Source organism: Homo sapiens, chromosome 2 (genome assembly GCF_000001405.40).
Source record: "Homo sapiens chromosome 2, GRCh38.p14 Primary Assembly".
NCBI lineage: Eukaryota > Metazoa > Chordata > Mammalia > Primates > Hominidae > Homo > Homo sapiens.
This window is the reverse complement of record NC_000002.12, coordinates 208,054,001-208,077,760: the sequence shown is the minus strand read 5'-3', so window position 1 is coordinate 208,077,760 and position 23,760 is coordinate 208,054,001. Positions and strand designations below refer to the sequence as shown.

Genomic DNA, 23,760 nt, shown 5'->3' with positions numbered 1-23,760 from the left:
CTTCCTGCTGCTGCTTCTACTTTTATATTTTGCTCAGCTCTCTAAATTCGCCTCAGCTCTAGGTAAGGTTAAATCCTTCTCCCATGATATGGATTTTCAGGCTCCCCAGTGAGGATGTGTGTTTGGAAAGAGACTTTCCCCCTCTCACACTCTGGGCACTCACGGTTTTTCAGCTGTGTCTTGGAGTTTGCAGCGGCAAACTCTTCTTTCAAAGGGTCTGTGAATTCTTTTGGTTTTCCTGGTATGTTCTTGCAGTAGTTCTTGGAGCAAAAGTTCACAATGTGAGTCTCCTCATGCTGCAAGTCAGCATGAGAGCTGCAAGTCAGTCCTGTCCCCCATCTGGCAGCTATTTTTATTATGCCTTCTCTTGCCATTCTTGAGAATGTCCAGTGATTGTCTTCCAAGGAAAAACTTTGTATGCTATATTTTCTACCATGCTATTTCATCATCAAATCCTAAATTATCTTTCTAGGTGTGATGAATGAGACAAAAATGCCTGGGATACTTTCCCATATCACTCTGAAGCATCAGCATCCGAAAAAGAAGCAGATGGCACACTCAATATGGATAAATTGAGGATATTTTAATAAAGGGTCTATCTATAATGGTGTAAGCCAGATTAGGGAAACTAGAAAAGAGAAAGTGTAGCACCCTGGAGCTAGCAGTGGGGGAAGCCATTACTTCCTCCCAACTCCCTAACCTAAGGCTCAAGGAAAAAGAGCAACTGTTGCAACCCAGAGAGCTTAGCCATCTAGGGAGGTCTTCTGAAAAGAGCAGTGGCCTTCAGAAGAAGGATGCAGCCAACCTGTGGAGACACAGCAATAGGGAAACAGGTGAATAAATATCCTGGCCTCACTCTTCTCCCACTCTCAGATCCCTTAATGGTATTCACCCTTGGCCAAACTCAAACCACGGGCAAACAAAGCAGTTGAGCCCCCCATAATCATGCTGTTCTTTGTTCTGTTAGATCTTGGAAAGAGTGACATCCCTCCTCCATTCTAGCTTGTCACTTTTTAGGACTTTTTTTCTCAGCCACACAAGGATGACTCAAACACCCCTAAAGTGCAATGTTTTAGCGGGGAAGAATTTTTGATGGAAGTCTAGAAGTACTGAGTGTACAAGTACCTAAATGCTTACTTCACTCAAACAACCTCTGGACCAAAGCATCTCTCTTTCCTAGTTTAGAAACTAGTGATTAGCAAGTGATTAGTAATTGACATCCAGTTTAAAAATAAAAGTTGACTTGACTGATTTCATCATTGAAACTAGTGCTAAATCCTTTGGACTCGTTTAAATATTGGATTCATAACACAACAAACATTTATTCAAATTCTACTATGGCTCAGGGCCTCCATGCATGCTATGGCTTAAGGACACAGGCACATAAGACATCAAATAGCATATTTCTTCACTCAACAAGTGTTTCTTGAGAGCTTTCTATGTGCCAAGTACTACGTGAGATTTATAGTCTAGAGGGAGGGAGGCAGAACAGTAATAACGGTAAATGAGATAATTATAATGCAAGGTGATAGTATTTTAATAGTTATGTGAGTCTATAGAGTTATAAAGGCAAAAGAGAAAAACCCTCATGGCTTGTTATGCGATGAAGCTAATGCTGAACAAATACCACATATTCCTGAGTATGGTCTTCCTGAAGACCAAATTCTTCCTTTTTTTTTTTTTTAAGATGGAGTCTCGCTCTGTCGCCCAGGCTGGAGTGCAGTGGCGCGATCTCGGCTCACTGCAAGCTCCGCCTCCCGGGTTCACGCCATTCTCCTGCCTCAGCCTCCCGAGTAGCTGGGACAGGCGCCCGCCACCACGCCCGGCTAATTTTTTGTATTTTTAGTAGAGACGGGGTTTCATCGTGTTAGCCAGGATGGTCTCGATTTCCTGACCTCGTGATCCACCCGCCTTGGCCTCCCAAAGTGCTGGGATTACACCAAATTCTTTATATACATAATTTTAGAAAATATTTAAAAATGAGTCCTTCTAGAACAACTGTATACTACTAATGCTTTGTATTTATACCACTCAAAAATGTTTGCTGGGCACAGCAGCATGGACCTCTGGTCCCAGCTTCTCAGGATGCAGAGGTGGGAGGATCTCTTGAGCTCAGGAGTTCAAGACTATAGCACACTATAATTGTGTCTGTGAGTAGCCACTACACTCCAGCCTAGGCAACATAGCAAGACCCTGCCCTTTCAAAATAAATTTTTAAATAAAAAAATTTTTAAATCTTCAGAAGGCATTGTAATGGTTAAATATCATTCATTCATTAACAAACAATTATTCAGCACTTATTATAAGCTAGCAATTTACCCCAAGTCATATGGTTCTGAAATAACAGAACCCAAGTCTGAACCCAGCCTGATTCCAAATCCACGCTAGTTCCTCCACAGTAGAGAGAAGAAGAGGAAAATTTGTGAAGGAGAAAAATATTCCTATAAATGTGAGGAACTGAGCATTTTTGTGGAAGAGGAATGAAATCAGAGTGTATCAAGTCAGGACAATAGAAGCCACTCTTTCAATCCAGGGGAATTTAATTCAGGAAATAGATTATAAAAGTGATAGAAGAGCTGAGATGCCAAACGGGGTGGTGACGTAACCCGGAGATTAGCGACAGCAAGAATCAGCTAACATCCGTGGGCTGGAGGGACAGTAGGAAGAGATGCTATTCTCAGCCTAAAAGCTAGAATTGTCTGGCTGGAAATAGAACCATTATAGAGGCTCCCTTGCAGGGGTCTGGACCATGGAGGGAGGGCCTTTCAGAGGGAGTTAGAGCCTTGAAAGAGACTCTGCTGCTGTGGAAGACATCACAGGAAGCACAGAGAGGCGGGAGAAATACCCATCCACTCATGCCTGTCCCCAGCAGAATATACAAAACTCACGGAGCAAGGAAGCCTGCAGACTAAAGGTTCCCACAGTGCAGAACAGGGCAGGGTGAGGAATCACGCTGGGCAGTTGACAGGCTCAGAGCTTCCAGGAAATATTTATGTAATTTATGTAATGTAGTTTTATGTAACCACTTACCCTATCAGTACTATCCGTTTTTCAACACTCTAGGTCTTACTTCTTGGTCTTAAAGAAAACAGAGGGCCAGGTGCAGTTGCCCATGCCTGTAATCCCAGCAATTTGGGAGGTTGAGGCAGAGGGATGGCTTGAGCCCAGGAGCTTGAGACCAGCCTGAACAACATAGCAAGACCCTCTCTCTATTTAAAAAAAAAAAAATTTTAAAGTGAACAAACAGGCCTTGCTGCGTTTCCCCGTTTCTTACCATTAGATCATACCCTTTTTGCCCTACCACATTTCTCCACAGTGGTCCACTCTTCACTAAACCTACAATAAACAACGCTCACATTTAACTGCTTCTTTGGGTCTTCATTTCCTTATGAAGCTTCCCATGTCATGTAAAACTTAAATAAGTTTGTTAATCTATCTTTTGTGCTAAGAATCAGAAAGAGTAGAGGAAAAAATATTTTTTTCCTCCCCTACACAATTCTATGGGACAGATATTGGCATGTCCATTTTAACAGATGAAACTCAGAGAGTGAATGACCTACCCGAAGCTCAGAAATGGTAACTGGCCAAGTAAAACTCACTCCTTTTGTAGTTCAGGAGCATGATTTGGTGTTTGTGCCTAAGTGTGATATGTGCCTCCCTCTGAACCTTGTTACAGCGCTGGCACATTACCCATCCAACCTGAACAACAACAACAACAAAACTCAGTCCTAGTTCTTCTGATCATAAGTTTAGTGCCCTTGCCACCTCAACACAACCACCTCCCCATGAGAAAGAAGCTTCTGTATTCCTTCCATACTGGGAAGGCACTGTTAAAGTTGAGTGAACTTTATCTTGTATTATTCCAGCCATCTGCTCTATGATTATGATTTTGGTATAAACCTTAAGGCTTTACCAAGGAAAATCACTATTAACTTTTTCTGCTCACCTTTTTTTCTTTTTTTTTTCGAGACGGAGTCTTGCTCTGTTGCCCAGGCTTGAGTGCAGTGGCGCGATCTCAGCTCACTGCAACCTCCGCCTCCTGGGTTCGAGTGATTCTCCTGCCTCAGCCTCCCTAGCAGCTGGGATTACAGGCACACGCTACCATGCCTGGCTAATGTTTGTATTCTTAGTAGAGACGGGGTTTCACCATGTTGACCAGGCTGGTCTTGAACTCTTGACCTCGTGATCTGCCCACCTTGGCCTCCCAAAGTGCTGGGATTATAGGTGTGAGCCACCGCTCCTGGCCCTTTTCTGCTCATCTTTAACAAAATATTGAAATGTGTTTTCAAGGCTGGGTGTGGTGTCTCCCACCTGTAATCCCAGCACTTTGGGAGGCTGAGGCAGGCCGATTACTTGAGCTCATGAGTTCAAGACCAGCCTGGGAAACATGGCGAAATCCCATCTCTACAGAAAAATGCAAAAATTAGCCAGGTGTGGTGATGCATGCCTGTGGTCCCAGCTATTCAGAAGGCTGAGGCATGAGAATCACTTGAACCCAGGGGGTGCAGTGAGCAAGATCATGCCACTGTACTCCAGCGACAAGAATGAGACTCTGTCTCAAAAAAAAAAAAACAACAAAACAAACAAACAAAAAAACAAAAAATAAAAAAAGAAGAAAAGAAGCCAGATGCAAAAAAGTACATATTGTATGATTTCATTTTTATAAAATATAAAAACATGCAAAAGAACTCTATACTGTTAAAATCACAAGGGCACGGGTGGGTTTCTGGGTTTCTGGTGACATTCTGTTTCTTGATCTGTGTACTGGTTACAGGGGTGTGACCAGTTTTTGAAAATTCATTGAACTAGACACTTACAATGTGTGCACTTTTCTGTATATATGTAATACTTTAATAAACAGGGTTTTTAAGAGTAGCGTAAGTTGCTTGAAAAAAATTTGCAGGATAGATGCCTTGAATTTATATTTTCTCCTACGTGCTGCAGTCAGCTAGAGTGAAGTGTGAAAGGCTCACTCTTGACATTTGGGCCCTTCATTCCTCCTTTATTCATCCATTTAACACATATTTATTGAAGAATGGTGTCAGGCACTCGGAGGCAAACAGAGTCCCTGCCCTCATGCAGACTACAGCCTATGCAGAAAGGGAGGAGACAGACGTCAATCAAATAGTCATACGAACACACATATCAGAGATGGTGAGAGAAAGGGGGGATGCTGAGAGGCCTCTCTCAGACCTAAAGGGTGAGTAGGCTTTGGCAGAAGAGGATATTATAAAGGGAACAGTGGTCTGGTGGCTTTTAAACGTTAGGCTTAATTCGTCCAGTAGAGGGCGACCACAGCCAGGCATTTGTGGCAATTCCTACTGCATCAGGAAAGCTGAAGGCTGAAGGTTTGCTTATCATCATCTCTCACTGAGTGTTGAAGGAGCACAAACTACTCACCAGAAACTAAGAATCCAAGTGTAAATTTACAGACGTCAATGTTGCTGTCTACCATTGCCCAACAGTTTGATGCAGATTCCTACCAAATGCCTACTGACCTTAATAAAGAAAAAAGAAAAAAAGTTAATAAGGCACAATTAAAGGAATCAAAATAAAAGCCCTTTTCTTGATTTGCACACATCCTCAAAGAGCTGCCTCAAGCACAGATACATACACATGTGACGTTTTCTTATTTATTAGTACTCCCCTCCACACAAACACACAAGTGCCTCATATCTGCTGTACCCCACATCCTCTACGGAAAGCATGCTACTGTGGATCTACCTCATGGATTATTGGTTTTATTCAGGCAGCTGATGAACAAATATAATTTTATATGTTGCCTATAGACATAAGGCAAAACAATCAATAATTTCCCACATCCCATTAAATGATTAGGGATGTAATCAGGATTAAAAACCAAGATATTTCCAGCGTACTTAAGGATAGATTTCTTTAACATCTACTATATATCAGCACTAGCGAGACTCTAAGTCATGTCACTTCCTTCCTTTAAAATTAATTCCCACTGCAGGCTGGGTACAGTGGCTCATACCTGTAATCCCAGCACTTTGGGAGGCCAAGGTGGGTAGATCACCTGAGGTCAGGAGTTTGAGACCAGCCTGGCCATTATGATGAAACCTCATCTATACTACAACTACAAAAATTAGCCAGGCATGGTGGCACACGCCTGTAATCCCAACTATGCAGGAGGCTGAGGCATGAGAATCACTTGAACCCAAGAGGCAGAAGTTGCAGTGAGCTGAGATCATGCCACTGCACTCCACCCTGGGTGATAGAGTGAGACTCAGTCAAAAAAAAGAAAAAAATCCCAATGCAATTAAAAATTTTCAGTTTTTTAAAAAATGAAAGCAATTCTCTGACAGGTAAAGGCCTGTGTGGTCTAGCCATTATCTATTATCCCAGACTAATCTCCTTTCCTTCTCATTATGTTTCAGACTTTCTTGTTTCCATGAAATTGCCATTTTCCATTTGCTGTTTCCCTTGCCTGAAACATTCTGCTTCCATCATCTAACTGGAGGCTTCTTATCATTCAAGTTCCAAATTGTTGCTTCCTAGGAAAAGACCTCTTTGACCACTCATTCCTGTCTGCCCTTCCCAACATGCAAAACAGAACCCTGATCTTTGGCTGGAAATGTTTTGGGTTTTGTTTGTTTGTTTGTTTGTTTGTTTGTTTGATGGAGACAGAGTCTCTCTCTGTCGCCCAGGCTGGAGTGCAGTGGCATGATCTCAGCTCACTGCAACCTACGCCTTCCGGGTTCAAGCAATTTTCATGCCTCAACCTCCCGAGTAGCTGGGATTACAGGCATGCGCCACCATACCCAGCTAATTTTTGTATTTTTTGTAGAAACGGGGCTTCACCATGTTGGCCAGGGTGATCTCGAACTCGTGGTCTCAGGTGATCCACCTGCCTTGGCCTTCTAAAGTGCTGGGATTACAGGTGTGAGCCACTGCGCGCGGCCTAGCTGGAAACTTTCCTGCCCAGTATATCAGTCATATTTCTCAGCCTCACTAGCAGCAGGATGTGGCCATGTTTCTGGCTAATGGGATGTAAACGGATATGTTCAGTGGGACTTCCTAGAAGCTTCCTTAAAGGGAAGCAGACAGGCCAGAGGAGGTGCCTCATGACTAGAATCCCAGCACTTTGGGAGGCTGAGCTGGGAGGATCACTTGAGGCCAGGAGTTTGAGACCAGCCTGGGCAACATAGTAAGACACCATCTTTACAAAATATAAATTTTTTCTTTTTTTTTTTTTGAGATGAAGTCTCGTTCTGTCGCCCAGGCTGGAGTGCAGTGGCACGATCTCAGCTCACTGCAAGCCCCACCTCCCGGGTTCACGCCATTCCCCTGCCTGAGCCTCCTGAGTTGCTGGGATTATAGGTGTGCACCACCATGCCCAGCTAATTTTTTTTGTATTTTTAGTAGAGACGGGGTTTCACCGTGTTAGCCAGGATGGTCTCAATCTCCTGACCTCGTGATCCACCCGCCTTGGTCTCTCAAAGTGCTGGGATTATAAGCGTGAGCCACCGCGCCCAGCCTGTTTTCGTTTTTTGTTTTTTTTTTCTTATTAGCCAAGTGTAGTGGTTCATGCCTGTAGTCCCAGCTACTCGGGAGGCCGAGGTTGGAGGATGGCTTGAGCCCAGGAGTTCAAGGATACAGTGAGTGAGCTATGATTGCCTCACTGCACTCCAGCCTGGGCAACAGAGTGAGAACTCATCTCAAAAAAAAAAAAAGTGGAGAGAAAAAAGGGGGAAGCAAACAGCTCTTCTTCCTATTTTCCCCTCTCCTGCTATCTGGAATGCAGATGTGATCACTGGAGCTCCTGAAAACACCTTGGATGCTGAGATGGCAGTGAGGATGGGAGGAAGAGCAGGTAGGGGCCTGGCTAATGGCACTGTGGGATAGGGGTGGAGTGTGCAATACCAGCCTCTAGATAACTTTGACGTGAAAAAAAAAAAAGTTTCTATCTAATTTAATACACTGTTATTTGCAGCTTGACTGTTACATGCCGCTAAACCTCAATACTAACTAAAAATATCACAGCCATCCCCAGACACATCACCTTATTTCTTCAGTGTCATTTCATTATTGGAAATACCTGGATCATTGTGTTTATCTGAGAGTAGGGATCTGGCCTGTCTTGTTCATTGCTGCATCCCCAGCATCTGCTGCAATGTGATGTTTCCATGCCTTCCCAGAATTTCAAGAAATAAATTGTAATGATCTTCATGGAAATGTTACTGGTCAGGAATTCCATCGATATCAACAGCTAGTGATGGTGCAGCAGTAACGAAAAAATTTGGAAAGTTTTCAGCAAATGTGTTCCTTCTTGCTGTAACAAAAGTGTTTTACTCAAAAACTGGAGGTTACAGCATCAGAAACAACTGGCAGAGGAGGTGAACACAGTGTAGTCTGTCTATGACACAGATGAAAGCAATTACTCTGATTCAGATGATGTGGCTGGAGCCAGTCAGTATAATCCACAAGGTCGTGTCTTTCTGGCAATTTTTAGAAAAAGGAAAGTTGTAAAACTGTTTACATTTTCTCCAATAAGAAATTCTCTCTTGCATAAAGAAAGAAAAAAAACACAGGCCGGGCACAGCAGCTCACACCTGTAATCCCAGCACTTTGGGAGGCCAAGATGGAAGGATAACTTGAGCTCAGAAATTTGAGACCAGCCTGGGCAGCATAGCGAGCCCCTGTCTCTGCTAAAAATAAAAAAATAGCTGAGTGTAGTGGTGCACACCTGTAGTCCCAGCTACTCAAGAGGCTGAGCCAGAAGGATCACTTGAGCCCAGGTGTTAAGGCTTGCAGTGAGCTATGATCGTGCCACTGCACTCCAGCCTGGGTAACACAGTAAGACCTTGTCTTAAAAAAAGAAGAAAGGGGGCCAGGCACGGTGGCTCATGCCTGTAATCCCAGCACTTTGGGAGGCCAAGGCGGGCAGATTACCTGAGGTCAGGAGTTCGAGATCAGCCTGACCAACATGGTGAAACCCTGTCTTTACTAAAAATACAAAAATTAGCTGGGCATGGTGGTGGATGCCTGTAATCCCAGCTACTTGGGAGGCTGAGGCAGGAGAATTGCTTGAGCCCAGGAGGCGGAGTTTGCAATGAGCTGAGATCACGCCATTGCACTCCAGCCTGGGCGACAAGAGTGAGACTCTGTCTAAAAAAAAAAAAAAAGGAAGGGAGGAAGTAGGGGGGGCAGGAAGAAAGGAGAGAGAAAATGGAATATTGTCAAATTGTGAGAGAGACAATAACTTGCTTAAAACTTGTTTGATTAGTAGTTGAAGCATTAAGTAATCATGATGCAAATCTTCTAATCGAAAACAGACTTGTGCTTTGAGTAGTATGCTTTTAAAAGAAGTTAGAATTGAATTATTTAATGCAGAAAAAAGATCTCATATTTCTCATTAAAATATTTCAGCAGTTAGTTTATATGAGGTTGACAACTCTTTTTGCTTCAGCAAACAAAAATGAAATGGCTCAATTAGCAAAATCATTAAGGAAAGACTTTTGTGGAGGAAAATATGCTTTATCAGAAGCAATGCAAAGAAGAGTGAATATTGTTGGGAACTATTCCATCACGAAGTCAGAAACATCTAAAATCTGAATTAGCGAAAATAACATAGACTTCAAGGAAAAAAATCAAAACCAGTGAAAGAAGACAATTATTTTCATCATTAAGAAAAGTGAATGAGTTTATAATAACCAACACGTACCCTAATGCTCAATTCGAAGAAGCTTGTAGACACATTCTTAGTAATAATAAATTAACATTAACAGAGGATGAAAAAACATTCTACACCTGGAATATTTGTCAGGAAACAAGGACCAAGACATTCAGGGCAATTCATGCTTTATGTGTTTTTCAATTTCATTTTAAGAATAACTTTTGGCCGGGCGCAATGGCCCACGCCTGTAATCCCAGCTCTTTGAGAAGCCAAGGCGGGCAGATCATGAGTTCAGGAGTTTGAGACCAGCCTGGGCAGCATGGTGAAACCCTGTCTCTACTAAAAATACAAAAATTAGCCGGGCGCAGTGGCATGAGCCTGTAATCTCAGCTATTCGGGAGGCTGAGGTAGGAGAATTGCTTGAACCTGGGAGGCGGAGGTTGCAGTAAGCCGAGATTGCACCACTGCACTCCAACCTGGGTGACAGAGCAAGACTCCGTCTCCAAAAAAGAATAACTTTTAAAATGTAAATGTTTGCAGTATTATCTTTCAATTGTTTGAATCATTTTATTTGGCATTATTGTGTGTTAATGTTCCCTTCTTTTAATATATTCTATTGTCTAACTCAGGTAGAAATTATTTTTATGGGTCATTGAAATGTAGTGTAATCTTGTCTCAATATATATGTCCATAATAATAATAAACCATATAACCCATGCATTTATTATCACTGTCTGGGGGGATTTCTTGTTTGTTTTGGTTGCAGAAAGCTTTAGAAACTTTTTGTATAATCCCATCACAGAAAAATGGTCCGCTATTTACTAGTGTAGTCAGTCATTGTTTTTAAAAACATACCAAGAAGATGTTATGGGGAAATGTAGATAACTTATGATTTTGAGGATCACCAAGAATTCTCAAGAATTCTAGTTTTTTGTTCCAGAATCCTGCAGATTAATAACTCTTAGAAATTATCAAACACTAGTACAGTGCCTGGGATAGAGTAGACATCAGCATATATTTAGAATGAATGGGTATTATTTTGTTTAATAGTCACAGCAATCCTGTCAAGAAGATGCAAATGTGCCCATTTTACTCATTAGAAATACCTGGATCTCCTTTGAGGTTCCTGTGAGACAACACCTTTAGGAGTCTTAAAAGTTCTATTGTTTACTGAGATGGTCTATGAGGCACATCCTTGAGATTCTTAGACATACTACTAGGCCTGCCCTTAAATTTTTCTGACAAAGCATCTTATTCTGGATTTGATCTTAGGCCCTAGAGATATTTATTATTTGGGAATCTTTTAATGGAAAAGACCAGGGATAAGCAACAGTTTTATTTTATAACCCAATATTTGTACTTTTCCATTTTTGCTAAGAACTTGAACAATTTTTCTTTTTTCTTTCTTTTTTTCTTTTTTTTTTTTTTTTTTGAGACAGAGTCTCACCCTGTCGCCCAGGCTGGAGTGCAGTGGCGTGATCTCAGTTCACTGCAACCTCCGCCTCCCGGGTTCAAGTGATTCTACTGCCTCAGCCTCCCAAGTAGCTGGATTTACAGGCGTGCACCACCACACCCTGCTAATTTTTTATATTTTTAGTAGAGACAGGGTTTCACCACATTGGCCAGGCTGGTCTTGAACTCCTGATCTCGTGATCCTCCTGCCTCGGCCTCCCAAAGTGCTGGGATTAGAGGCATGAGCCACTGCACCGAGCCCACAATTTTTCTTTAGATCATCTCTCCTGTCTCATATTTTGTCATAGGCAACTGAAAAAAGCCAGTTGGCACCTTCTACATTCTGCTTGGACATCTCTCTAGCCAACCCCACAAGCTGTTAAGCACTCTTTCTGTTTTCCACGTTCCCATAGGCGACAGTGTCCTCACACTTTCTGTCGCTACATAAAGAGTCCTCTGTTTTCCAGCCCCTATAAATACTTTGCTCAGTCTTTCACACCCTCACCCATAGTCTCCTCCTGGCTTTTTCTGCTTCTCCCTGACACTCTGTCCCAAAGCCAGTGCCATATGGTTTGGGTATTCGTTATGATAGCACCCCACTTCCAAGTACCAAATTCTGCCCAAGTATCTATTATTACTGCACAATACTGTAGTGGCTTGAAACAACCATTTATCATGACTATCTTCAAACAGGGCACAGCAAGGGACAGCTCATTTCTGCTCCAGAATGCCTGAGGCCTCAGCTGCAAGACTGGAATAGCGGGGGGACCAGAACAACCAGGGGTTGGCTGGGCATCTGTTTCTCTTTCTCCCTCTGTCTGTCTGTCCCTCCCCACCCGCCTTTCCACAGTTTCTTCCTGCAGCCACCTTAGGCTTCCTTATTCGATGGCAGCCTCTGGGTAGTCAGACTCTCACAGGGAAGCTCGGGGCTCCAATCAATGTCCTAAGAGACAGGAAATGGAAGCTGCCAGTCTCTTAAAGCCAAGCTTGGAAACCAGTACAGTGCCACTCCCCGGATATTCTACTGGTCAAAGCAGTCAGACTCGAGGGGAGGAGACATAGGTCCCATTTCTCAATGGGAGCAGTGTCAAAGAAGGTATAGTTGTCTTTCACCTATTATTATTCACCTATTTTACTATGGTTATAATAATATGGTAAAATAATATGGTAAAGCTTTGTGATAACAAAGATTATAAAACTTTATTATTATTATTATTATTATTATTATTATTATTATTATTACTGAGAGGGAGTCTCACTTTGTTGCCCAGGGTGGAGTGCAGTGGCACGATCTCAGCTCACTGCAACCTCTGCTACCCAGGTTCAAGCGATTCTCCTGCCTCAGCCTCCCAAGTAGCTGGGATTACAGGCACCTGCCACTGTGCCTGACTAATTATTGTAGTTTTAGTAGAGACGGGGTTTCACCATCTTGGCCAGGCTGGTTTTGAATTTCTGACCTTGTGATCCACCCGCCTCAGCCTCCCAAAGTGCTGGGATTACAGAGGTGAGCCACCATGCCTAGCCAAAACATTATTATTATTATTATTATTATTATTATTATTATTATTGAGAGAGGGTCTTGCTATGTTGCCCAGGCTGATCTTGAACTCCTGGCCTCAAGCGATCCTCCAGCCTTGGGTTCCCTAAGTGCTGGGATTACAGGCATGAGCCACTGTGCCTGGCCAATTCAGATATTATTTAACTCCTGCCCAAACCCACTCTTAAAAGGGGGCATCCTCAAGTTCCTATCTTCTACACGGTGGTGTCTTGTGATCATTCTGAGACTCTCAGTTCCGCATATGAAGCACACCGTTTGAAAGAGTTGGTGTGCAGAATAGTTTTCATTCATCTCTCTAGGGTAATGCTTTGTCCCTTCCTCACCTGCTCTGTGTCCCAGGAGGCAGGTCTTTCCCTGTAGGCTTCCAGTTGATTTCAGCCACTGGATGACAACAGAAGTTCCATGGAGGAGGTAAGGGAGCGTGAGAGTGCTGGTTTTATTCCCCAGCTTCATCCCAGCTGAGTCATTGTGGTTTGGCTTTCTGGCTCTCCAGGCAGCATTCTCCATTTAGCTACACCATATTCTCTGTCAATTAGTTCAGGCCTAGACCAATAATATCTTCCTGGTTCTTGCTAACTTCAGGATACTGCACCATTCTTTGTGAGGTTCCCTTAAACCTGATTCTTTATTAAATTCCTCTAAATTATTCTATTTGGGTCTTCTGTTCACCGACAGAGACGGATACAGACGGTCTACTTCTGATATAACTAACACTTTAAAACTCTCCCTACTTTTTTTTTTTTTTTTTTTTTTTTTAAGTCAGGGTCTGGTTGTGTTGCCCAGGCTGGAGTGCAATGGTGCAATCTCAGCTCACTGCAGCTTCTGCCTCCCTGGTTCAAGCGATTCTCCCACCACAGCCTCCTGAGTAGCTGGGACCACAGGTGTGTGCCACCACATCAGGCTAATTTTTGTATTTTTTGTAGAGATGGGGTTATCGCCATATTGCCTAGGTTGGTCTCAGACTCCTGAGCTCAAGTGATCCACCCACCTCGGCCTCCCAAAGTGCTGAGATTACAGGCATAATCAGCCTTTTTCTTATCAGAATTGTGTATTAATGTAGTTTTCCCATTTTTTAAATCAGGCTTTTGATCCTTTGTCCTTCCATTTATTTAGAGTTCTTTACATATTAAGAATATTATACTTTTATCTGTAATACAGCTCACTGCTTATTGTGTTTTATTTTTCTTTTTGTGGGAAACAGGGTCTCATTCTGTTGTCCAGACTGGAGTGCAGTGGCACAATCACAGTTCACTGCAAACTCAACCTCCTGGGCTCAAGCAATCCTCCCACCTCAGCCACCCCAGTAGCTGGGACTAAAGGCACGCACTGCCATGCCCAGCTGATTTTTTTTCATTTTTAAATTTTGAGATAGAGTCTTACTCTGTCACCCAGGCTGGAGTGCAGTGGTGAGATCTCGGTTCACTGCAACCTCCGCCTCCCGGATTCAAGCAATTCTCCTGCCTCAGCTGGGATTACAGTAGCTGGGATTACAGGCACCTGCCACAACGCCCAGCTAATGTTTTGTATTTTTAGTAGAGATGAGGTTTCACCATGTTGGCCAGGCTGGTCTCGAACTCCTGACCTCAAGTGATCTGCCTGCCTTGGCCTCCCAAAGTGCTGGGGTTACAGGCATGAGCCACCATGCCTGGCTTGTGCTCATTGTTTTTTGACTTTGTTTACAGTGGGGTATTTAGCCATGCCCCCAAAAAATTATTTTTATTTTTAATGTAGTCAAATTTATTAACATTTTCTTTTATTGCCTCTAGATTTTGAGGCTTTCTCTATATCAAGGTTAAAGAAGAATTCACCCATGTTTTCTTCTAGCACTTGTGTGATTTTGTATTTTACATTTAGATTCCTACTTTGAATTTATTCTTCAATATGGTGTGACGTATGAATTTAATTTTATCTTTTTCCAAATGTACCATCTGTCCCAGAACCGTTTATTTAAAAGCTTATCTTTGTAGAACTTGAGGATAACTGGTAGATTTTAAAAAATAATAACAAAAGTTTATCTTTGACCCAATGGTTTGAGATGCCAGTTCTTCATATAGTCAATTACCATATGTGTTTCTTTCTATTTCTGGACTTTTTATTCTGCTGCATTAGTCTACTTGTCTAGTCATGGGACAGTACCACTGTGTGTTAATTATAAAAGGCTTTATAGTGTGTTTTAATATCTGTTAGTCTACTTCAAAGTTTTGTGTGTTTTTAAATGTTTCCCTGGCTATTTTTACATGTTTCTCCATATAAACTTTAGTATCAACTTGTATGGCTTCATTTAAAAAGCTAGCTGCTATTTTTATTGGGATTATGATCGTTAATAAATTGACTTGGACAACTGACATCTTTGTGCTGCTTAGTCATCCTATCCAAGAACAGGAAATGTTTTAATTATTAGGGGCTTTATAGAATATTTTAATATGTGGCAGGCTACTCCCTGCTAAAAGTTTTTCTTTTTTATTGGTTTCTCGACTATTCTTGCTTATTTTTAAAATATAAACTTTAGTATTAATTTGTTTGGCTCCATAGGAAAGTTTGGTGGTATTTTCATTGGAATTGTGATAAATCGACTTAGGAAGAAGTAACAAGGCCCCCAGATCTGATCACTTCAAAATAGATATTTTGAATGTAAACACACACACACACACGCACACACACACACACGCACACCAGAACCTAAAAATTCATTCCAGATGTGGAAAGGATCAATGTCATTCAATTTAGCAAATATTTATGTATTACCTGCTATTTGCAAATTACTATAATAAAATATAACATGAGTCACTGTCTCTGTTCTCAAGAAGATAAGCACCTGAAGGGGGCGATAAGCACTTACTGATTATAGTGAGCCTGCACAGCATTTAGTGCAGTGTCTTTTGGGGTGAGCATCTCTCTACGCCACATAAATCTACAGCCCAAATATCTATGTGCAGCACTTGGATATATCCACAGCAATCCATGGCAAAAATGCAATTTGCTTTTTCTTGCATCTGCTGCATGTTATTATAACTTCTTATTCTCTAGGGCTCTTAATCACGTCTAACATTGATCCTCACTCCCAAAATGTTCTCTCTCATAGGAGAAGAAAAGATTAAGATGAGACCATTCATTTATTCTATAAATATTCCTTGAGTACCTTCCGTATGTGAAGAATTGCTCTTGGAGCTGAACTCTTAGTGGATTACAAGAAAGACCACATCCCTGCTTGAGGAGATTCCATTCTAGAGACAGAGACAGTTCAGGCAGAAACAAACAAGTTGAACGATACAACATAATTGCAGGGTGAGGAGGTCTGTATGGAAGAAGAAGGCAGGGAAAGGAGATGAAGGGCAAGGTGCCCTTTTGGATAGGACAGTGAGGGAAAGCCTTGCTGGGGAGAAAGAATTCGGGCAGACTTGAATGATGTGAATGGGGGAATCACATGAAGGTCCTTGGAGAAGACCCTGCCATGCACAAGGAGCATCTGCAGAGCCCGGGGGCCACACAGCCAGAAGAGAAAGCAAGGGAGAGACAGGGAGAAAAAGGGCTTCAGGTGCACAGTGCCTAGAGCAAGTAGGTACTCCAGGTTCCCCAAAAGGAGTTTGGATTTTGTTCTGCGAGAAAGGATGCTTTTTTGCAGGGGTATGACACGTGTGATCTTTAAATTTGGCTGCCATGGAGAAAATGGACTGTAGTGAGGGGGAAAGGGGGAGGCTGGTCAGAAGTCACTGTGCTGATCATGTGACAGATGACAGGGGCTTGGACCAGGGGACCACAGAGGACAAAAAAAGAAGCAAAGTGGAAGAATGTGGGAATTTTTTTGGAAGACAAACTAACAGGACTTACAGATGGACTGAATTTGGGAGTGGAGGGAGAGGAAGAGCCCAGGGTGGCTCTCTAGTTTTTGGTTTGAGTAACTGGGCGAATACCAGTACCATGTATTAAAAAGAGGTGACTATTGGAGAAGGAGCAGGTTTGGGGCAAAACCATAGAGATCTATTTTAGACACATTATTCAAGATACTTGGTTACTTCCCACTAAGTTTTAATAACCTAGCATAAGTTATATTGTCCTTTTCTATTCTTCTTTCATCCCCAATTAGAGTTGTTCCCAGGACAGTGTTTAACCTAAATGTGAAAGAAGATATGGCAAATCATCATTTGATCATTTCTGAAGGTCTCAAGCATTATCCTTCTATAAAAAGGATTAAATAAGGCCGGGTGAGGTGTCTCACGCCTGTAATCCCAGCACTTTGGGAGGCCAAGGCGGGCAGATCACCTGAGGTTGGGAGTTTGAGACCAGCTTGACCAACATGGAGAAACCCCGACTCTACTAAAAATACAAAATTAGCCAGGCATGGTGATGCACGCCTGTAAGCTACTCGGGAGGCCGAGGCAGGAGAATCGCTTGAACCCGGGAGGCGGAGGTTGCAGTGAGTCGAGACCATGCCATTGCACTCCAGCCTGGGCAACAAGAGCGAAACTCTGTCTCAAACAAACAAACAAAAAGGATTAAATAGTCTGGGTGGAGTGGCTCACGCCTGTAATCCCAGCACTTTGGGAGGCCAAAGTAGGCAGATTGCTTTGAGTTCAGGAGTTCGAGCCTGGTCAACATAGTGAAACCCCATTTACACACACACAGACAAACACACAAATCAGCCAAGCATGGTGGCTCACACCTGTAGTCCCAGCTACTTGGGAGGCTGAGGCTAGAGAATTGCTTGAGTCTGGGAAGCAAAGGTTGCAGTGAGCTGTGATCACGCCACTGCACTCCAGCCTGGATGACAGAGCGAGACCCTGTCTCAAAAGAAAAAGGGGGGAGGGATTAAATAAATATTGTCATTGATAGCAAAAGCTGTTTGGATCTAGTTGATGATATAATCTAGATACATGTCCTTGCCCAAACCTCATGTTGAAATGTAATCCCCAGTGTTGGAGATGGGTCCTGATGGGAGGTGTTAAGGTCATGGGGGCAGATTTCTCATGGCTTGGACCTGTCCTGGAGATAGTGAGTGAGTTCTCATGAGATCTGGTAATTTAAAAGTGTGTGGTACCCCCACCTTCACTCTCTCTCTCTTGCTCTTGCTTTTGCCGTGTGAAGTGCCAGCTCCCACTTCACCTTCCACCATGAATAAAAGCTCCCTGAGGATTCACCAGAAGCCAAGCAGATGCCAGCACCATGCCTCCTGTATAGCCTGCAGGAATATGAGCCAATTAAATCTCTTTCCTTTATAAATTACCCAGTCTCAGGTATTTCTTTATAGCAATGCAAGAATGGCCTAATACAGCTGATTTCAACTATAGTCAAGGAGGGGAAAAAAGTAAGTGGAGGTTAAACAAAGTTGTTTGCCGTTTTTCACATAATCAGGAGCAGAGATAAAGTTATAACTTGCAAGTGGCTCTATTCAGGCTGATGGTGCACGATCACAGTGCTTTGGTTACCTGGTGGGCCTCATGGGCTGAGGCCTCAAAGGCATAACCAGGCCCTATTGTGATCTCTGCATTGGAAACATGGGACCTTTTTTCAGCATCTGCCATCCACAAGACACTGTGCCCAGGACTTTCACCATGTCTCATAAGGTAGCCCTACTATTATTCCTAGGCAGCTCTTTATTCCCAGAGGGTTTGCCTTGACTTCTTAGATATAATGGATCATTTGAGTTTTGCTTGTGAAATTGTGAAAAGTCTTTAAGAGCAAACACATACCTCAATGAGACCATAAAGGGGTTAAGGCATGTGCAGTGCTTTGAGGTGTTCAGGTGAAAAGCTCTCAGTAGTATTAATTATTATTCTTTTAGTTAAAAGTAGCTCTTTTTTTATATATATACTTTAAGTTCTAGGGTACACGTGCACAACGTGCAGGTTTGTTACATATGTATACATGTGCCGTGTTTGATTGCTGCACCCATTAACTTGTCATTTACATTAGGTATTTCTCCTAATGCTATCTCTCCCCTATCCCCCCACCCCACGACAGGCCGGGGTATGTGATGTTCCCTGCCCTGTGTCCAAGTGTTCTCATTGTTCAATTCCCACCTATGAGTGAGAACATGTGGTGTTTGATTTTCTGTCCTTGCGATAGCTTGCTCAGAATGATGCTTTCCAGCTTCATCCATGTCGCTACAAAGGACATGAACTCATCCATTTTTATGGCTGCATAGTATTCCATGGTGTATATGTGCCACATTTTCTTTTTTTTAATATATATATATTTTTTATTATATTTTAAGTTCTAGGGTACATGTGCACAACATGCAGGTTTGTTACATATGTATATATGTGCCATGTTGGTGTGCTGCACCCATTAACTCGTCATTTACATTAGGTATATCTCCTAATGCTATCCCTCCCCCCTCCCCCCTCCCCACACCCCAAAACAGTCCGGGGTGTGTGATGTTCCCCTTCCTGTGTCCAAGTGTTCTCATTGTTCAATTCCCACCTGTGAGTGAGAACATGCGGTGTTTGGTTTTTTGTCCTTGGGATAGTTTGCTGAGAATGATGGTTTCCAGCTTCATCCATGTCCCTACAAAGGACGTGAACTCATCATTTTTTATGGCTGCATAGTAATGTGCCACATTTTCTTAATCCAGTCTATCACTGATGGACATGTGTGTTGGTTCCAAGTCTTTGCTATTGTGAATAGTGCCACAATAAACATACTTGTGCATGTGTCTTTATAGCAGCATGATTTAAAATCCTTTGGGTTTATACCCAGTAATGGAATCACTGGGTCAAATGGTATTTCTAGTTCTAGATCCTTGAGAAATCGCCATACTGTCTTCCACAGTGGTTGAACTAGTTTATACTCCCACCAACAGTGTAAAAGCATTCTTATTTCTCCACATCCTCTCCAGCATCTGTTGTTTCCTGACTTTAATGATCACCATTCTAATCATTGTGGTTTTGATTTGCATTTCTCTGATGACCAGTGATGATGAGCATTTTTTCATGTGTCTGTTGGCTGCATAAATGTCTTCTTTTGAAAACTGTCTGTTCATATCCTTTGCCCACTTTTTGATGGGGTTGTTTGATTTTTTCCTGTAAATTTGTTTAAGTTCTTTGAAGATTCTGGATATTAGTCCTTTGTCAGATGGGTAGATTGCAGAAATTTTCTCCCATTCTGTAGGTTGCCTGTTTACTCTGATGGTAGTTTCTTTTGCTGTACAGAAGCTCTTTAGTTTAATTAGATCCCATTTGTCTATTTTGGCTTTTGTTGCCATTGCTTTTAACAAAACAATAAGTAAAACATGAGTCCACAAAAAGCTGTGAGAGGGATATACCTTATAAAGACCTTGGGTTCTTTCGGCTCTTGGCTTGGAGGAGGCCAAGGTGCAACTTTCTTCCGTCATCCTGAATCCGGGTTCATCCATCACCAGCCACCTCCACCATGCTGCAGAAGTTCGACCCCAACGGGATCAAAGTCGTATACCTGAGGTGCACTGGGGGTGAAGTCAGTGCCACGTCTGCGCTGGACCCCAAGATCGGCCCACTGGGTCTGTCTCCAAAAAAGATTGGTGATGACATTGCCAAGGCAATGGGTGACTGGAAGGGCCTGAGAATTACAGTGAAACTGACCATTCAGAACAGACAGGCCCAGATTGAGGTAGTGCCTTCTGCCTCTGCCCTGATCATCAAAGCCCTCAAGGAACCACCAAGAGACAGAAAGAAACAGAAAAACATTAAACACAGTGGGAATATCACTTTTGATGAGATCATCAACATTGCTTGACAGATGCAGCACCCATCTTTACCCAGAGAACTCTCTGGAACCATTAAGGAGATCCTGGAGACTGCCCAGTCTGTGAGCCATAATGTTGATGGCCACCAACCTCATGACATCATAGATGACATCAACAGTGTTGTTGTGGAATGCCCAACTAGTTAAGAAGCACAAAGGAAAATATTTCAATAAAGGATCATTTGACAACTGGAAAAAAAAAAACACCACCTTGCGTTCTGCAGTCAATTCTCCCTGCCTAAGTGAAAATCCCTGATATTTTGTGAATGATGGGACACAGTCATTCCAGTCCCCAGCACTAAGTCATAGTACATAGAGCAGGGCAGAATATCTGTAGCTACTGTGAATGAAATTATTTTGAATTTTGTGGGAAAAGAACAGTGGGATTGGGCCAGGAAGGAATGATTTACATTTTAAGCATCAAATGTGTGAATATTTTTTTCCAAAAATATAGTCTTCTTTTATTATAAGAAAAGTAATACAAGTTTTACATAGAAAATTTAAAAATACAGACTATTTTTTTTTTTTTTTGAGACAGTCTTACTTTGTCGTCCAGGCTGGAGCGTAGTGGCGCGATTTCGGCTCACTGCAACCTCTTCCTCCCAGGTTCAAGCGATTCTCCTGCTTCAGCCTCACGGGTAGCTGGGATTACAAGTGCCCACCACCATGCCTGGCTAATTTTTGTATTTTTAGTAGAGATGGGGTTTCACCATGTAGGCCAGACTGGTCTCCAACTCCTGGCCTCAAGTGATCCGCCCGCCTCAGCCTCCCAAACTGCTGGGATTACAGGCATGAGCCACCATGCCCAACCAGAATATTATTTTTTAAATGACATTTAAATTAATTTTAACCACTACTGAGATAATCACTATTAATATTTTATTTATATACTACAAATATATATGTGTATGTGTATGTATATTTATATATAATCATCTTTTAGAAATATCGACTTCTATGAGTGTATTCTTTAAGAGAACATAATTTGAAAACTAAAAGATCAACTTTTGAAAACCTTTGTTATTGGGAAAGTTGCCTAGCCAGATATAATAACAATTACTGGCATTTTATAGCATCTTATGTGAATTCTCTCTTTTATTACTAAAAATAGCTATTGTTATTAACATAATAATAATTATTATTGACATATTAGTAACAGAAGAAAGAATACCTTGCTGGGAGGCATAAGTCCCAGTTCAAAGTTACGATTAGATACAAAGCCGTGAAATACTTTGAGCCTGAGTTTCCTCAAGTATATAATAAGCATCTTGGACTAAATGAAGCCTGAGGCCTCTTCCAGTTTTAAAATCCTACCCAAGTCTTATTTTAGAATAGGGGCACTTACTGAGATGCATTTGCTGAGATGCAAATTTACTTTCAAATATTTTATCTAAAATGCACCTGTTTTCAAGCTAAGAAAAATGGATCACATTTTGAAGAAAATTCGAAGGCTTTGAAGATGGGGCCTATTTACAGAGACCAATTTATTTCTCTGCATTATTTTAACATGCAACTCTTCTCCAGTCCTGAAGCTTCCTAAGTATCTGAGGCTTCGAAAAGTGGGGGTAGAGACAGCTTATTACCATGGAGATAGATGGGAGCAAACGGTCACATCATCAAAAGCAAACTAGAAATGTACAAAGCTTTTGTGATGCTGATCCTTTTTTTTTTTTAAGTAAGAAGAAGAAGGGAAAAAGGCACAAATAAAAGGACAGATCTCTCTCATTAAATCCAACACAATTTAGTAATCAGTGAAATAAAGATACCCTTGAAAGCCTGCTGCCAGAAAATACAGTACAACAAAGAAGCACAAAAGGTTGCTGGCTGCCAGGTATAATTTCCAGGTACTCCAAGTGCATTTGGACTCCCTGTTCTCTTAGCTTTGCTTTGCAGATTGGCCGTCTTCGTGGTAGGCTCGAAGTATCCATTTAGTCACCCTAGTGTGTTATCCAAATATTTAGAAGGAGAAAAATTGTGGGAAAATAACCTTTAATTTTACAATTCTCCAAAGGAAACTGTTCAAAATTAAGAGGTCTAAGAAGCTAAGAATGAGTGTTAATCTATTTTTCTGTTTATTACCTATCACTTTGGATAATCTGGAAATAATTTTGACAGTGGGATAAAAGTTGAAGTTGGGGTAAGAGTCCAAATTTTCGCAAAGTAGCTTACATCAGAATAAAGTCGCTGTCAATTAGATTGCTTGCATATAGATATGCGAGCTGTTACCCCTATCCATTACATAATCTTACTCCAGCAGGGGCTGCCAAAAACCTGTAGGCAGGAAAGATTTACACTCAGTTCTTCATAAGTACCCAAAAGAAAAGAAATCACTTTAGAATGATTATATAAGTTAAAGAACATGGCCAAGTTTGTGCCTTGAACTTTTAGTCTATCAATTAGCAATAGTAATTGCATACTGCTGAGATGTTTTAGAGACTGAGATGGTGTTTTAAAAGTGTTTTGTGCTATTCAGAGGGAAATGCAATTTACGTCATATTTTAGAATGTGAATTATGAAGGAAATTGTCTCTTTTTCTTCCTTATTCCCCTCTTCCCCCTCCTCTACCTCCTTCTCCTCCTCCTCTTCCTTTTCCTCTTCAGATTTTCCCTCTTTGCCTACAACATTAAGAGAGACTATTCACATTATAAAGACATTGATTTCCTTAAATGATCTGTAAATTCAATGTATATGCCAAATAAAACACCAAGGTGATTTTTTTCAACCTGACAAAAATAACACTAAAGTTCTTCAAGACATATAAATGGGCAATTAGAAAAACTCTGAAAAACAAGAGTAGTGAGAGGGTAATTAATACAACTATACATTAAAATGTATCATGGAGTTATAATAATTAAAATATCTTATTCTAGAGAAGAAATAGAATAGCTAAATAGAATAGAATGGAATAGAAGAGAATCAACAGAAATAAACCCAAATACGTATACAGATTTAATGTGTGAAAAAGGTAGATGAGTCGAATTTATAGGGGAGGGATGGGAGAAGGGAAGATGTATTAATCAATAGACAGTGATGAGAAAACTGGCTAGGAATGGAAAATAAAATAAAATGGATTCTTTACCATGCTCTTTATATTCCCAAATTTCCAGAGGATTCAAAGATAGCAATATAATACATACTCTATGGCCATACCACTCTGAATGCCCCCAATCTTATCTGATCTCAGAAGCTAAGCAGGGTTAGGTCTGGGGGCCTGCTTAATACTTGGATGAGAGAAATGTAATATAAACAAGTAAGTGTATATATGTGTATATATATGTATATATACACACACACACATACACATGCATAAGTATATATATACACACACATATACTTATATGTATATATTATACTTGTTACATATACTGGTTTTGAACTACTATTATATATATTA

At 41.5% G+C, this 23,760-nt stretch overlaps 1 long non-coding RNA gene, 1 other non-coding gene and 2 pseudogenes across 2 annotated transcripts, besides 1 other annotated feature; 3 read left to right on the top strand and 1 right to left on the bottom strand.

Annotated features, from left to right (window-relative positions):
* Window positions 1-562: 562 nt before the first annotated feature.
* LOC105373854 (uncharacterized) lies at window positions 563-13,058 on the bottom strand. The gene is made up of 4 exons (XR_923815.3): window positions 12,971-13,058; window positions 8,060-8,230; window positions 5,401-5,498; window positions 563-805 (listed from the first exon to the last, which is right to left on the bottom strand). It is a non-coding gene; the product is annotated as an uncharacterized LOC105373854 (long non-coding RNA).
* LOC124905439 (small nucleolar RNA U13) lies at window positions 3,599-3,700 on the top strand. The gene has a single exon (XR_007088765.1). It is a non-coding gene; the product is annotated as a small nucleolar RNA U13 (small nucleolar RNA).
* Window positions 12,982-13,031: an enhancer, noted in NCBI's record as "active region_17050". NCBI's record gives its function as "activates an Ori minimal core promoter by ATAC-STARR-seq in GM12878 lymphoblastoid cells {active_cell/tissue: GM12878}" and the evidence as "EXISTENCE:reporter gene assay evidence [ECO:0000049][PMID:35858748]".
* On the top strand, window positions 19,928-20,559 carry RPL12P17 (ribosomal protein L12 pseudogene 17; annotated as a pseudogene).
* On the top strand, window positions 23,503-23,600 carry RNA5SP116 (RNA, 5S ribosomal pseudogene 116; annotated as a pseudogene).